The 15783-nt window shown below is 56.6% G+C and overlaps 1 protein-coding gene across 12 annotated transcripts in view, besides 3 other annotated features; it reads left to right on the top strand.

Annotated features, from left to right (window-relative positions):
• The window catches only part of WDR4 (WDR4 tRNA N7-guanosine methyltransferase non-catalytic subunit), a 49905-nt gene that overhangs the window by 30570 nt on the left and 3552 nt on the right, over window positions 1–15783 (top strand). For 7 of the 12 annotated variants that reach the window (NR_048535.1, XM_024452048.2, NM_001260476.2 and 4 more), the window contains 7 exon segments: window positions 35–147; window positions 2707–2767; window positions 6649–6747; window positions 7803–7867; window positions 8677–8860; window positions 10105–10174; window positions 12187–13203. Coding sequence is in view for 11 of the 12 variants with exons in the window: in XM_024452048.2 (XP_024307816.1) it covers window positions 35–147; window positions 2707–2767; window positions 6649–6747; window positions 7803–7867; window positions 8677–8860; window positions 10105–10174; window positions 12187–12380 (786 nt within the window). In the remaining variant the exon portion in view is untranslated. 12 annotated transcript variants of the gene reach the window in all.
• Window positions 1710–2268: an enhancer, noted in NCBI's record as "H3K27ac-H3K4me1 hESC enhancer chr21:44280271-44280829 (GRCh37/hg19 assembly coordinates)". NCBI's record gives its function as "activates a minimal SCP1, AML or CMV promoter by ChIP-STARR-seq in naive H9 embryonic stem cells {active_cell/tissue: H9 hESC(naive)}" and the evidence as "EXISTENCE:reporter gene assay evidence [ECO:0000049][PMID:30033119]".
• Window positions 13155–13720: an enhancer, noted in NCBI's record as "H3K27ac-H3K4me1 hESC enhancer chr21:44268819-44269384 (GRCh37/hg19 assembly coordinates)". NCBI's record gives its function as "activates a minimal SCP1, AML or CMV promoter by ChIP-STARR-seq in naive and primed H9 embryonic stem cells {active_cell/tissue: H9 hESC(naive and primed)}" and the evidence as "EXISTENCE:reporter gene assay evidence [ECO:0000049][PMID:30033119]".
• Window positions 13721–14286: an enhancer, noted in NCBI's record as "H3K27ac-H3K4me1 hESC enhancer chr21:44268253-44268818 (GRCh37/hg19 assembly coordinates)". NCBI's record gives its function as "activates a minimal SCP1, AML or CMV promoter by ChIP-STARR-seq in naive and primed H9 embryonic stem cells {active_cell/tissue: H9 hESC(naive and primed)}" and the evidence as "EXISTENCE:reporter gene assay evidence [ECO:0000049][PMID:30033119]".

Raw genomic sequence — 15783 nt, 5'->3', positions numbered from 1 at the left:
GCGGCTTTTTCTTTTCTGGCCCCTGGTGATGCAGGCTGTGAGTCCTGATGACCGCTTCATCCTCACTGCCGACCGGGACGAGAAGATCCGAGTCAGCTGGGCCGCGGCGCCCCATAGCATCGAGTCCTTCTGCTTGGGGCACACAGAGTGAGTGCCCCTTCCTGCCCCTCCAGCAGAAAGAAGGTCTGTTTGAAAACAGCGTCAGCTTGCGGCTCAGCAGGTGCCGTTGTAGCTGGCGAGGCCCCACGCGGGTGACAGCAGCCCCCGTGCTTGGTGTTTGGTCACTGCAGGCGCCGTGGTGCTGCCTGCAGAAGCCCTGAAAGGGTGGGGTTCACTCTGCGCTGTTACCCGGAGTCTGTGCCAGTAACTTGGCATTGGGCCTGACCGAACAGGAAGGGCTTGTTTCCGGGAAACCCCTGTCTCAGTGTGGAGACCCCTGCACCATGCCCGGGAGTTGTTCGCTGGTGGGTGGTGGGGGTGTTGGGGGCGAGGATGAACTTTAGTGATTTCAGCTGTCCAAGAATTAAGCGGCCTCTGCAGCCAGGTGGCGGCGTCTCTCGTGGCAGCACACTCTGCCAGGACCCATGTGGAGGTGTTTCTGAATGCCCGCTCCTGTCTCACACAAAAAGCTCATTAGAATTTACACAAAGGAAAAACGCTTAGTGTAATTGGCTGAAATGTTTTAAAATATATTATTTGAGGCAGTGGAAGAAATTGGAGGGAGGAAATTCAGTGCCGAGGTTGCCTGTGTTTTCCTGGTTTTGATCCAAACATTTCCTGTTTAAGAAGGCCAGTCACTGGTGTGTGCCTCAGGATAGCTTCTTCTGACTTGCATTTAGTTCGCTAGTGATCCAGCTCTGGAGTTCTCTGGCCTGCAGCCCCCCGGCCCCTCCCCTTCACCATCTCTCGCTGGGGTCTCTGCAGCTCCCTTGCCTCGCCAGGCACGTGAGGGAGGTTTCTGCTGACGGGAACACGCTTCTCACCCTTCTAGGGAAATGCTTCATCACTTAGAAGTATTGAGTAAAAACATAGTATTAAAATTAACTTCAACTGCTCCCTCCCTCCCTCCCTTCCTTCCCCCCTCCCCACCCCACCCTTCCCCTCCCTTCCTTTCTTTTCTCTTTCTTAGCTGTGTCGCCCAGGCTGGAGTGCAGTGGCGTGATCTTGGCTCACTGCAACCTCTGCCTTCCAGGTTCAAGCGATTCTCCTGCCTCAGCCTCCCAAGTAGCTGGGACTACAGGCCCCTGCCACCACGCCCGGCTAATTTTTTTTTGTATTTTTAGTAGAGACGAGGGTTCACTATGTTGGCCAGGCTGGTCTTGATCTCCTGACCTCATGATTCGCCCGCCTCGGCCTCCCACAGTGCTGGGATTACAGGCGTGAGCCACCGTGCCCGGCCTGCCCGTTTACTTTTCAACATAGTGGCTGGCAAATTGAAAACAAAGCCCCGTGGCCCCTGTGTGTGGCTGGAGGTGTGTTTCTGCTGGATGTGCTGTTCTGTGCCCTTTGCTGACATTGCAGTATCAGTTGGTTCACTGGCCGTCTCCCGCTGCGTCTGAGTGGTTCTGTGGGTCTGTTGGGCCTGTTGGTGTGTGCAGCCCTCAGCGTGGTGCCTGGCATGAGTAGGTGCTCAGTAGATAACTGCAGTGATTGGACGAATTATGTTTTGAGATTTTGTTTCAGACCCCTGGAAACTGGTTTCCCGGCCTTTCAAACCGTTGAGAACTGTGAGGCCACTCGTGCCCTCTGCACGGGGCGTCCTGTGCCCTATCTGTCCTGGGCTGTGGGCTGCTGTTGGTGCTGTGGTGCCGTGCAGGGCGGTGGCTGCGGGACCGGGCCCGGCTCACGCGATGGCTAGCCCAAGGTAGCAGAGGCCATGACTGGTGGAGATGGAGTGAGGCTCACGGGCCACCCCATTCCAGGGTCCCCGGGAACCCCGTGCATGAGGGATTGCTTGAGGCCACTGTGTTAGAGTGGGAAGAAAAGGGGCCTTGTCACCCTTGTAGGTGCCCGAGCCAAGATGGGTTTCCAGGCGAGCTGGGCTGCTTGGGTTATTCTTCATGGCTGTTCTGATGGGAGGGTCCCTGTGACTTTGAGTCCTGTGCTTGCAGGCCAACCCCTCACAGGAGGACTGGGCCGGGCTCAGCAGAGACAGCTGTCTGGCCAGGTCACTCAGAGTTGTTGCTGAGGGGCCGTCAGGACCCTGATAGGAACCTGTGGGCTTGGCTGCCCTCCTCCCTCCACCCTCCTCCCTGTGTGCTGTGTCTTTGAGTCTCCCCCGTGTCTTTGAGTCTCCCCCAAGGCTCCTTTCATCACAGTGCAGGTGCCTTGGGCCAGGGTGGGTGCTGGGGGGCCTGTAGAGGTGCCGCTGAGCAGAGCTGCTGCAGAGGGGGCTGCAGAGGGGCACAGAGGCGCTTGGGTCTCTGGCAGGCATGGCTGAGGAGCGGCCTGGGTTAGAGGTTGCTGTGCTGTTGGGGACCCAGGAATGACCTCACTCACCTCCCCGACTGCGTCCAGGGGCCTCCACCTGGTTAACCCTAACCAGGTTAGGGTTAACAGCTACTTCCCATGTTGGCTGTTTTTATTGGATCAGGGGGTTTAGGGCAGAGGCTTCTCTTCCTTAGATGAACAGGCGGCCTCCCCAGGCCTCCCGGTCCCTGCGGGCGCTGGGCTCGCTGACTCTGCCGCTCTCTCTCGCCCTCACAGGTTTGTGAGCCGTATCTCCGTGGTGCCAACTCAGCCCGGGCTGCTTCTGTCCTCCTCTGGGGTAAGTGTTCTGCCCAGCGTCACTCACCTCTGGATTCTTGAGCCTGCAGGGAGGGTGGGGTGGGCGCCTCCTGGACCTGGCCCCTGTGGATCGCTGGCCCCTGGCTGGCTGTGGCTGTCCACTAGATCTTAGAGCTGCCTGCGGCTCGCTCCCCGCCTGCGGCCGCTCACTCAGGACTGCGTGTGGGGTGTGCGTAGGTGCGTGTGTGTTCGCCTGTGGGATGAACTAGCACGGGTGTGTGGAAGGCTCCCTTCTGAGGGCGGCTGCTGCATCTACGATGGTATCGGGGATCAGGATCTCAGGTAGAAACAGTAGACGGGGGCTTCTCTGACTCTTGGAGGGGTCTCAGTCCATCCCATTACGGGCTGCATTTTTTTTCCTTTTCTTTCCTTTTTTTCTTTCTTTCTTTTTTTTTAAGATGGGGTGTTGCTACATTTTTCAGGCTGGTTTCAAACTCCTGGGCTCAAGCGATCTGCCTCCTTGGCCTCCCAAGTAGCTGGGACCACAGGCTCGAGCGCCCGCACCCGGGTTACCACAGTGCATTTTTGCTTGTTGGGTACAGCTTCTGTGTCCCAGCAATTGGGTCCTGGAAGCCTTACAGTTTAGTGATGAGAGACGTGTTTTCTCTAAGGAATGTGTTAGAAGGATTGTTAGTGATTTTGCCAAAGTGAGGGCCTTGGATTCCTCACAGGGTCTGATTCTGTCCTCTTGCGGAATTGTTGCCCGCACACCACCACCTTCCTCTTCGCTGTCCTTCCCTGTGTTGTCTGTGTTGGTCCTTTGTGTGGTGTGGCAGGATGGCTGATGGACCTTCTGGCCGCTTCTATGTTTCTTCTCTGATTGGGCTTCATTCACAGCCTCCTGTTCCTGCTCTTCAAATTAACACACAGCCACGCGACCTGAGAGAAGAAGAAAAGTGTGGCCATAATCTCCAGAGGGTCAGGGTCAGGGTCAGGCTTCGTCAGCGGTTTGTTGTGCACCTTCCAGTCTTTTTCATAATATGAGGAAAATCTTCCACGGGCAGAGAAGCCTCCCCAGGCCCCATCTGTCCCTCATGGCTTACTGCTTTGTTTGAGTGGAACACGTCATCTGGTAGCTGCCAAAAGGCGCGAGGAGGGTCAGTGTTTTCTGACTTTGCTTTTCTGGAAATACCTTTAATCTCCTTTGAGGCCTGGTTGTTAGTTTGGCGTAGAAGTCCTGGTTGAAACGGTTTCCCTCGGAGCTTGGGAGGCCTTGCACAGTGTGCTCTCCAGCTGGTTGCTCCTGTGGGTTTTCCCGCGCGCTTCCTGTAGAAACCTGCAGCTGTCTGCCGTGGGTCCGTGGGGTGACAGCTGGGCTCTCCTTCTGCCTGGAGGACTTTCTCTGCTCCAGTGTGCGATGTGAAAGCCACTGAGGTGACTTGGTGGGCCCCAGAGGGGAGTTGGCCACACAGCCAGTGATTTTCAGTGTCCTCCGACCTGGGGCATTTTCTTACATGATTACCTTCTGTTCTCTACCCCTGCCTCTTGCTCACTTTTTCTAAAGCTTGTGTTAGTTGAACCACTTTAATGCTCTGATTCTTATTTTTTTTGAGACAGAGTCTTGCTCTGTCTCCCAGTCTGGAGTGCAGTGGCGTGATCTCGGTTCACTGCAGCCTCTGCCTCCCGGGCTCAAGCAATCCTCCCACCTCAGGCCTCCCGAGTAGCTAGTATTACAGGCACACACCACCATGCCCCGCTAATTTTTTATACTTTTGTAGTGATGGGGTTTTGCCAGCTTGGCCAGGCTGGTCTCAAACTTTTGACCTCAAGCGATCCACCCACTTCCGCCCACTGGGATTATAGGCGAGAGCCACCATGCTGGGCCATAATTCTCTGTTTTTTTTTCTTTCCTGTTCAATCTCGTATTTCTACTCCTTTAGGAATAGTCTTACTTCTTGGGAGATTGCCTCAACTTTACTTTCCAGCCTTCTGTGGAGACTTGAGTTTTATTAGGATTATTTTGAATCTTTAGTTCTTTCTTGCCCTCGGCACGTTCTTTTTTGCAGCCACCCATTCTCGGATAGTGCACGTGTCTCTTATCTCACTGAGATGAGCGTGGACTTTTCTTTCTTCAATTTCTTCCTGGCCTTGTGTTTGATTGCCTTCTCTGGAGTGTGTTGTCTGCCTTTCTCATTGGAGGTTTTCCTCGGATGTCTGGCGATGCCATCTGCCTGTGTGTGATGGGAGTCAGCACCAGCCGGCCTCAGAGGCTGGGTGTGTGCACCCAGGGTGGGGCCCGAGGGGCTTCAGAGCAGGTGTCTGTGGGCAGCAGCCCCTTGCCTGTGGACTCCGTAGAACGTGTGGGTCAGTCGGTCTCTTCTGGGTGGTCAGTGTCCCGGCCTTCACTCTTGCCCAGGTCTGTCCCCTGGGGCTCTGGGAGGTGAGTGCGAAGGGGCTAGGTGACTCTCTTCTCAGTGAGTATTTGGCATCCCCGAGACAGGGGCCCCTCGGCTCCGTTTCCCCAGAGCCTTCTGCTGGCCTGGAGTTTGGGGCTGAGGATGCATCAGGGAGGTCCCGTTTCTCTTTGTAAAGACATTTGACAGCTCCCCTCACCACCTTGGTCTTCAGGCTGCCTGGCCCGGTTTGGTCTTTGGCAGGTCCTGGCACCTCTCGGGCTTCTCTGTGGCTGGTGCATTTGTTCCCTGGCCTCCAGCCCCCAGGTTTCCTTGCTGTCTCTCCGCGGCTGCCTTCTCTTCTTGCCTGTTGTCTTTGTCTTAGTGGGTTCATGGTTATTAAACATCTTTTTCTTGTCTTCGTAGAGAGGTTTGGGGGTGAGTGAAATGCCTGTAGATGTGTGTGTTGGTCTCCATGTTTATCTGCCACATTTGTAGAAAGGTGTGTGTGTGTGCGTGTGTATGTGCATGCGTGTGTGTGTGCATTCATACATCCACTCTTACCTCGGCACCCAGAGGATATGCATCTACTGTTAGCTGTTTGGGGTATTTACTTTTCATCTTTTTCATTTAGTCATTTAAAAATACTTACAAATAGTGCACAGACACTCTCTCATTAGATTTAATGAGTATTGATTTATTTCTCTCCACTGAATTAGTGCTGTAATGAATTTTTTTTAAGCCAGGTATGGTGGCTCATGCCTGTAGTCCCAGCTACTCGGAGGCTGAGGCGGGAGGATTGCCTGGGCCTGGGAGTCAGAGGCTGCAGTGAGCCAGGAGCAAGCCTGTGAATAGCCACTGCAGTGCAGTGGGCAGTGTGGAATAGACCCCATTTCAATTAAACAACAAAAAAATAACAACAGATAAAACCAAGAAAAAAAAGAGAAACGCTTTTTTCCATTGATGATGGTTTTAGAGCGTGGAGCCTCTTGGTTCCTGTGTCGGCTTCCTGAAGGGTTGTACCAGTTGTCGTGGGACGGTTGCTGATGGCCATGTCCTTCCTGTCATTCTTAGTGAAGTGGAGCAGTGGCCACGAGCTCATGAGCCCACACGTGTCTCCCCGTGGGAATGCATGATTGCTGAAGTGTCTGCGCAGACCTGTGTGCATGCCCGTGTCTATGCCCGGCCCGGGCACAGCAGATGTGGTCTGGCCTCCTGGCGGATGACAACCTGGCCATCTAGCGGCCTTGGCTTATTTTGCTAGGATCTGCCTCATTGGCTTTGTCATCTGCCTGGGCATATTGGCACTCGAGAAACAGGGAATCGGTCACCTTCCGTTCCCCACCGTTGTCCTTGATGATTTGCATGAGCGATTTACACAGTCAGAGCAGAGAGCCTTTAATTCCTGAGGGTGGGTGGCATGGCTGTCACGGAGTGGAACCCCGACCACACGCAGCTGTCCTCTCTGTCACCCTACCTGACGGAAGCCCCACAACCATGTGCTAACCTGTGTGTTTGGTTTGTGCAGGACGGCACCCTGAGGCTCTGGGAGTACAGGAGCGGCCGCCAGCTGCACTGCTGTCACCTGGCCAGTCTGCAGGAGCTGGTGGACCCCCAGGCCCCCCAGGTAGCTGCTTCTGTTCACTCCTGGGCGACTGAGTGCTTGTAGACACCGGCAGTCGCCTGACTTGAGTGGAAAAGTCACTTCGCCGTTGGAAACGTTTGCTCTCAATGCCAGACTTCCTCCTGTGTGAGGGAAATCTCGTATTTCAAATTCTGAAGGTGGCTCGTCATGTCAGTGGGAAATAATTTGTCTCCCTGTTGCATGCAAACAGTTAATGTACAGGAAGGCCTCTAATCCTGCTCTGAAGTGGAAGGAATGGAGGTGCTTGAGCATGCACCTTTGTGGGTCTGCCAGCCAGGTGGGGCAGGGGTGGGGCCAGGCCCACTCCAGCATTCTCCGGCCAGCTTGGAGCAATCTCATGACACCCTGAAAGCCCAGGCCTTGGCAAAGTTTCCCGCCAAACGGTCTGTTCCATTTCCTAGAGAACTGTGTGGTGTGGCCTCTGCCCCCTGCCAGGCAGCTGTGTAAGAGAGGACCAGGCCTTTTCCTTCATGCTTCACGTGGACTCAGGTTCCTGGAAGTTTCCTTCATTTAAAAAAAATTTTTTTTTTTTTTTTGAGATGGAGTCCCACTCTTGCCCAGGCTGGAGTGCAGTGGTGCTATCTCGACTCACAGCAACCTCCGCCTCAGGCTCCTGAGTAGCTGGGATTAAAGGCGTGAGCCACTGTGCACGGCCTCTTCTTCATTTTTAATATTTCCTCTGCCAGGAACTGTGGGAGCTCACAGGGCAGTTGTATGTGTAGCTCTCATCTCTTCCTTTCCCCTGTGTCCTCCGCTCCCTCTTCTCCTCACTGTCTGACCTATCTTGTTGGCTTTGGAGGCTGTCGCAGGCCCTGCAGGGAGTGCCAGAACCACTGGGGGGCTTTTGTCATCTGCTTGGGAAACAGGGAATCAGCTACCCTCCTTTCCCCACTGATTCCAGAATGTTCCAGTGCTGTTTCCTCTTCCTTGATATGTGGGGGCGTGAGCGTCCTTCGGTCTTGCTCTTGTTGGATCAGAGCGCCCGGCGTCGGGCCCCTGCAGGTGGCGTGAAGTTAATGGGCTTCTTCTCCTTTTAGAAGTTTGCCGCGTCCAGGATTGCATTCTGGTGCCAGGAGAACTGCGTGGCGCTCCTGTGCGACGGGTAAGCTGCGGCGGCACCTCTATGGCCTCCGGTTCTGCAGACCTGCAGGGGGAAGAGTTAGCGGGTTGGCCACTGGCCCACGTCCTCAATGAAGAGGTCCTGAACGGTGGTGGTATTGGTCTAGCACCTCCCTCTGAGAATGTCACTTTTGATGACTGCTGCTGCATGAGGGTGAGGGCTCCTCTCAGCCAGCGCTCTTCAACCTGACGTTGAACTCCCCTGGCGTAAAGAGCACCAGCAGCCTCTGCCTGGCCTTCTGAGATGACAGACTTTCCCCTGGGCCAGTCGTGGTGGCATCACCTCACTCCCGGCTCGGGGCTGGTCGGATGGGAACCCCCTGGGGTTGGCGGTGCTGACAAGGTGGGTTTAGGGGTGGAGTGCAGTTCTGCTGCTTCTTCCCGAGTGACTTGTGTGTGTCAGGAAAGGTATTCTATTTGGTGCTTTCGGCACTTTTCATCTTGTCCTTATGACAGCCTGGGGAGGTCTCTTAGCTCGTTCTGGAAGTACGCAGGTGTGAGAGGAGAGCTGCGCCTGAGCCCAGGGCCTGCGTCCTCCTGCCCTGCCTGCCTGTACCGTGCTGGTTAGCTATTGCTGCACCACGAGCCACTCCAGAGCTTAGGACTTAAAAAAGTGTACGTCACCCCATGGTTTCCCCGGCGCCGGCATTTGGGAGTGGCGCAGCTGGGGCTTTCAGCGTAGGCTCTCCTGAGGTGGCACCGGCGAGGGCTGCACCGTCTGGGGTGCTGGCTGCAGAGCGGAGCCCGTGGGCCTGCAGTCCTAGTAATCATGCTCTCTTTCTTCGTGGCAAGCACTCCTGTGGTCTACATCTTCCAGCTGGACGCCCGCAGACAGCAGTTGGTGTACAGGCAGCAGCTGGCGTTCCAGCACCAAGTGTGGGACGTGGCTTTCGAGGAGACCCAGGGGCTGTGGGTGCTCCAGGACTGCCAGGAAGCCCCCCTGGTGCTCTACAGGCCTGTGGGCGACCAGTGGCAGGTGAGACTCGGCACCTTCCAGATGTCCTATGCCCTGCCTTTCCATAAGCCTGGGGGTGTGGGGCGGCAGCTATGTTTTTTGGGTCCATGGGTAAGCCTCTTTCAACTCAGCCACTTCTGGGGCCCAGGGTCTGTGTCCTGAATGGCAGTGGCTGGGGCTTCCACCGTGGGTGAAGGGAGCCGGGTGCCAGGCCGGCGTGGCTGGCTTGTCCCATGTGGTGATGTCTGCAACAGTTCTTTTTTTGGGTGAGTGTGTGGCCCCCCACACCACACTTAGCGATGAAGTTGGCACTCAGTGTGGCAAGGGTGTGTGGGACTAACACTTGGAGGCTGGATTAGCACAGCCTCGGGCCTGGGGCACTGGCTGAGTCCTCAGGAGCATGTGGAGCCCCGGGTAGAGGAGGGGGCAAGGGCGGCAGGCTGAGCTGCTTTCCTCTGGGGAGACAGTGGGGTCTCTGGGCGAGGGCGGCGGGCCGAGCTGCTTCCTTGCTGGGGGACGGGGCGAACCCTGTACCTTGTCTGCATCGCTCCTGGTAACGGAGCAATGCCCCTGCCCGCCCTGCGTCTCACAGGGTTGCTGTGGAGTTGAGTGGAGTAGGTACCCATTTGCCAAAGCTCAGTTGAGCACTTTGGAAGCACTTTTTTTTTTTTTTTGAGACGGAGTTTTGCTCGTGTTGCCCAGGCTGGAGTACAATGGCGCTATCTCGGCTCACCGCGACCTCCGCCTCCCGGGTTCAAGTGATTCTCCTGCCTCAGCCTCCCGAGTAGCTGGGATTACAGGCATGCGCCACCACACCCGGCTAATTTTGTATTTTTAGTAGAGACGGGGTTTCTCCATGTTGGTCAGGCTGGTCTTGAACTCCCACCCTCAGGTGATCCGCCCGCCTTGGCCTCCCAAAGTGCTGGGATTACAGGTATGAGCCACTGCGCCTGACCTGGAAGCACTTTTAAGCCATCCAGTTCTTTTTACCTGAGAAGTGGCAGGCCACATGATGTCCCCAGTGGGTGCCTGTCGCACCTGCTGGCCCCTGAGGTTGATGAACTGCATGTGAAGAGCTTGCCCTGGCATCATGGGCCAGCTGCGGGGGCTGCCTCCCCAGGTCTCCACAGAAGGTGAATGGGGGTCCCCAGGCACCAGGAGGGGACCTCCCCTGCAAGCCTCTCTGGCCAGCATGTGTTGCGTCCTGGTGCTGGGTTTCCAGGCCTGCCTCTTTCTGATGAAGATTTCCTGTTTGTCGCCTGCAGTCTGTTCCTGAGAGCACCGTGTTAAAGAAAGTCTCTGGTGTTCTTCGTGGGAACTGGGCCATGCTGGAAGGTGAGAGCACGGGTGCAGGCTGCCCTTGGGGGTCACACCCAGCGCGGTCCCCAGAGAAAGCAGAAGCACACACTGTGACCTGCCCGGGGTACCTGGTGTGCAGATAAAGAGGGAGAGTAAGCGTGTGTCCCCATCCAGAAGGCGGGGCAGGGCAGGAGGTGGGTGACGCACAGCAGAAGAAGGAGCCCCCCATGGGAGTCAGGCTAACGAGAGCCACTTAGGAACCGGGGGCTCAGGGTCTGAGCACCTGCCTTCAGAGTTGGGCGTTGAAGGTCCCCAGGGCAGGGCTGGCAGCTGGTGGCTCCCAGAGGGAGCTGGTGCTGTGCTGCCTCATGCCTGGTCCATGGTGTTGAGGGAATTGATCCCACTGCAGTGGGCGTCAGTAAGTGCAGGGCCTCACTGGGAGGTTTAGTGGGGGTCTAGCCAGAGGCCCCGGGGGTCTTCAGGAGGCTGAGCAGGGGCAGGATGGTCACTGTCCTGACAGGAACACTCAGCTGAGGGGAGGGAATCTAGCCAGCAACTCCCGTGGCTGCGGCTGCAGGAAGGAGAGCAGCCAGGCTGAGGGAGGAGCTGGACGAACATTTTCTACCCTGCCTTCTGGGGACACGACACACTGTAGTTCTGGGTGCGTCGTTGTGCCAGCACCTTGCAGTCTTGGAGGTGATGGTGTCTGCAGGATGGATTAGCCCAGCATGGAATCCAGGTGCCTCATTCACGACAAGAAGTTGCTGCTCTGAAGTCTTGCAAAGCTAAACCCCACTGCAGTGAGCACTGAGGTTCCTTGGAGCTCTGGAGGGATTCACACTGAGGTCGGAGGAGTTTCCGCTGATTGGGGCCCAGCCGCCTTCTGCCAGGCTCCCCGAGTGGCGGCACGCTGGCTCTGCCTCTGAGGCTTCTCTCCCTCCTGCTTTGCTTAGGATGTTGAGGGTTGAGACGGGCAGGGTTGGGCCCCCCAGCGTGGTTGGGATCTGCTTTAGGAACACTTCAGAGTGGGCCTGTCACTGGCTGTGTCAGGGACTGCAGGCGGCAGTGCTCATGGCCGGGCATCTGCAGTGCTCATGGCCCCCGTGCTCTAGGCCACGGACAGCATAGACCTGTTGAGTGTCACCTTGCACAACAGTCTCAGGCCAAAGCCTGGGCTCGCTCTCCTGAGATGTTCCATAGATAGAGCAGCCTGTTCCCGGCGCAGACTTGGGGGCCTGCGTTGGGAGAGGGACCGGGGAGGGCTGCTGCTAGAGTGTCCCACAAGCAGCAGAGTCGCTGGAGGGGCGGGGAGGCTGCGCCACCTGCTGGATGGGCAGGCTTCAGGCAGTCGCTGGTGCGCGGGTTACCGGCTGGGCCTGTGGTTTCCTGGCCAGGCTGAGGCTGTCTCCGTGTGCCTGTGGTCAGTCATTGCCCCCAATCCTTGGCACTTAGATAAAGTAGATGAAATCCGTGTCCATTCCCTGTGGCGGCAGAACATGCTATCCCACACTCGATGCCTTAAGGCACCCCACCCTTACTGTCTCACTGTTGCTGTGGGTCAGGGGTCCGGACTCAGCTGAGCTGTGTCTCTGCAGGTGGCCATCTCAGCTTCACCAGGCAGGGCCCGACTTCACTCAGTCTGGGTTGTCGGCAGGACAGGGGGCCTCTCTGGCTGTTGGCCAGAGGCTGCTGCTCCTGGTCCCCTGCCACCTGGGCCCCTCCACAGGGCGGCTCATGGTGCAGTAGTGGCTTTCTCCGGGCGTGCAAGCAGAGAGTGCTGGCGGGGTGGAGGCCCAGCCTTGGTGCCCTGGTTTCCATTACATTCTTTCATCTTTGCCCCGTTCTGTTAGTAGCCAGTCCTCAGGTCCAGCCAGGGTGTGGGTCCCAGGAGGTGGGCACCGTGGGGAGCCGTCCCAGAAGGCGCCCCCCACGGTCCACCGAGGACTCTGGGAGTCACGAGGTAACTCCCTGCTGCAGGGGGCCCGCTGTGGTGGCCGAGTCCCATGTTCCTGCCCCACCTGGCACCTGTCCTTGTTCCCCCATCACAGGCTCTGCCGGCGCAGACGCCAGCTTCAGCAGTCTCTACAAGGCCACGTTCGACAACGTGACCTCCTACCTGAAGAAGAAAGAGGAGAGACTGCAGCAGCAGCTAGAGAAGAAGCAGCGGCGCCGGAGTCCCCCGCCTGGGCCCGACGGGCATGCCAAGAAGATGAGACCGGGGGAGGCGACGCTAAGTTGCTGATCGTGGCGGTCAGTGGTGTCTCTCACCTCAAATTAGGAAAAGCTTTTTAACTTGTTCCCCTGCATCCTGGCATGTCCCTTCAAGAAGGAAAAGGTGACATCAGTTGTGACCAGCTCAGAGGATGGGGCTGTCCCCTGGGCTCTAGAAAGAACATTCTGTGTCACCAGCACAGGCTCTTGCTGGGTGCCTGTGCCCCCTTTCTGGTTGAAGGGAAGCCAGACCAGTGGAGTGGAAGCTCTTGAAGCACTTTCTTTTCATGTCGGAGGCTGCGTGTGAGCCGGTGGTGGCGGCAGCTGTCTGTGTTTCTCCTGTTCTCATACCGCCCTTCGTGTCCGCTGCATCTTCCTCTAGGAGCATCTGTGGGCTGACGTTTCTGGCATGGTGGATGTTTTCATGTTGTTCCGCCGTCTCAGCATCCAGGTGACGTGCTGTCCCGCAGTAGCTGCTCGCCACACAGGCTGTTGAAACTCAGCACGAATGCTTGAGCCTGCCCCAGCCCCAGCCGTAGCCCTTGTGCTCAGGAGCTGCTCCTGGAGAGTGGCTCCCTTGTGGGAAGTGAGAAACACGTTTCGGAGTCGCAGGGAGCTCTGTCTGGCATCGGTGGCACAGATGGTGAACTTGTTTCAGGAAGTGTGAGCACGGGCCTGGCTGGCACCCGGTTTACAGGGAGGTGATTGAGGACGTCGTTATGATTTGATTTGACCTTGGCACACACTGCAGAGCCACAGGGATGTTGCTGAATTTCAATCACCGATCAGCAAGGATGAACCTTCTCAACTTCCTAGGAATGTTTAGCAGCAACCGAATATACCAGGCAAAACTCCTTGGTGCCTGCGCTGTGTGTGTGTGAGGTGCGCGGTGTGATTGTGCGCTGTGTGTGTGTGAGGTGCACGCTGCGTGATCGTGTGCTGTGTGAGGTGCGCGCCGCGTGATCGTGCGCTGTGTGTGTGTGTGAGGTGCGTGGTGTGATCGTGCGCTGTGTGTGTGGTGCACGCCGCGTGATCGTGCGCTGTGTGTGTGAGGTGCGCGGTGTGATCGTGCGCTGTGTGTGAGGTGCACGCTGCGTGATCGTGTGCTGTGAGTGAGGTGCGCGCCGCGTGATCGTGTGCTGTGTGAGGTGCGCGCCGCGTGATCGTGTGCTGTGTGAGGTGTGCGCCGCGTGATCGTGCGCTGTGTGTGTGAGGTGCGCGGTGTGATCGTGTGCTGTGAGTGAGGTGCGCGCCGCGTGATCGTGTGCTGTGTGAGGTGCGCGCCGCGTGATCGTGTGCTGTGTGAGGTGCGCGCCGCGTGATCGTGTGCTGTGTGAGGTGCGCGCCGTGTGATCGTGCGCTGTGTGAGTGAGGTGTGCGCCGCGTGATCGTGCGCTGTGTGAGTGAGGTGCGCGCCGCGTGATCGTGCGCTGTGTGTGTGAGGTGCGCGGTGTGATCGTGCGCTGTGTGTGAGGTGCACGCTGCGTGATCGTGTGCTGTGAGGTGCGCGCCGCGTGATCGTGTGCTGTGTGAGGTGCGCGCCGCGTGATCGTGTGCTGTGTGAGGTGCGCGCCGTGTGATCGTGCGCTGTGTGAGTGAGGTGTGCGCCGCGTGATCGTGCGCTGTGTGAGGTGCGCGCCGCGTGATTGTGCGCTGTGTGAGTGAGGTGCGCGCCGCGTGATCGTGTGCTGTGTGAGTGAGGTGCAGGCCACGTGATCGTGCGCTGTGTGTGTGTGAGGTGCGCACTGCGTGACCGTGCGCTGCATGTGAGTGAGGTGTGCGCCGCGTGATTTGGGAAGAGGCTTCTGCAATGGGCAGGCTTCTGGGTACATCACTTAATTCGTTCAGGCCGGCTCCTACCTGCTGTCCAGTGATGAAGTCTCCACACAGGAACAGGTTCATGCTGGCGATGACTATGATGTGGGGTATCGCTGGGTACTCAGAATCCTTTTGTGTATCAAAAGCTGGAATGCTTCAAATTTTTCATAAGTGCCTTGTTTTCCTTTTAACATTGATCTGGAAACAGTGCTGTCTGCAAAGCTGAGGCCCACTCCTCTCTGCTGGGGATCAGGGGTTTCAGAAGGCAGGGGCCATGCTGGGCCACTGTCCTGTACAAGCAGCCTGGCCTCCTTCACGCTGCCAGGGCATCTGGCGCAGGGCATGCTTTCTCATTCATAGTCTGCTTTGAAAGTCTTGGTTTTAGGAGAGGTTCAGGTTGGTCTTGCTGGCATCTTCACCTAAAATAGGGTCTGGCAGACAGGCCCATGCGCTGCATCCTGCCCACGGCCTGATAGATGGCCTGTGAATGGCTTTTTTACATTTTAAAAGTGGTTGAAAACAAATTAAAAATATATTTCATGACATGAAAATCATGAAATTCACATTTCATTATCTGAGAATAAACTTTTATGGATGCAGCCATGCCTGTCTGTCCATGTCTTATCTGTGTCTGCTTTGTGCTACGGCTGCAGAGTGGAGTGGCTGGGACTGAGACGGAACGCCCTCCTCACGGGGCCGCGTCTCTCCACCAGGACCGCGGGGCTACTCTGAGGCTCTGCTTCTTCCCCAGCGGGGTTGGCTTCCTGCTATTCCTCAGCATCCTGCCTTGGTCCTGAGTTGGTCCCTCTGCCAAGAGCCGTTTCTGTGTCTCAGTGGATGGCGCAGCTGCCTTCTTGCTGGTACCTTGACTGATAGACTGGTTCCTGTTCACCTGCCCGAAGTCATCCCAGAAATACCTCTTACAGTTGCATGGGTTGAACCCAGCTCCGCGTGTATTTAGAGTTTTGTCTCTTGCCCCTTCACCCAGAACAGCAGCACCCACCACCTTCCCGTCCCCTGTGACTGCCTCGCAACTGGGTCTGTTCTGTGAGATGTCGCCACCCTGTTTGCCATCTGGGAGGATCTCACTCCTTCAATTTAATCTGCTCTCTTCCGTTATTTTTTTAGTTTCTATGTATTTTACTTTTAGGACATTCCTTGGACTTTGTTCTACCTCTTTAATTGATGAAGAAAATTTGGTCATTGTATCTGGTTTTTTTTTTTGAGACAGAGTCTCGCTCTGTTGCCCAGGCTGGAGTGCGGTGGCACAATCTCGGCTCACTGCAACCTCCACCTCACTGCAACCTCCGCCTCCCGGGTTCAAGCGATTCTCCTACCTCAGCCTCCCGAGTAGCTGGATTACAGGCTCCTGCCACCACGCCTGGCTAATTTTTGTATTTTTAGTAGAGATGGGGTTTTGCCATGTTTGCCAGGCTGGTCTCCAACTCCTGACCTCAGGTGATCCTCTCGCCTCGCACTCCCAAAGTGCTGGGATTATAGGTGTCAGCCACTGCACCCAATCTATTGTATTTAATTCTAAGCACTTTCTTCCAGACGGTCTCACTCTGTCACCCAGGCTGAAGTGCAGTGGTGTGATCTCAGCTCACAGCAGCCTC

Source organism: Homo sapiens, chromosome 21, assembly GCF_000001405.40.
Source record: "Homo sapiens chromosome 21, GRCh38.p14 Primary Assembly".
In the NCBI taxonomy this organism is placed as follows: Eukaryota; Metazoa; Chordata; class Mammalia; order Primates; family Hominidae; genus Homo; species Homo sapiens.
Note: the sequence above shows the minus strand (reverse complement) of the source record. Positions and strands in the feature narration are given on the sequence as shown.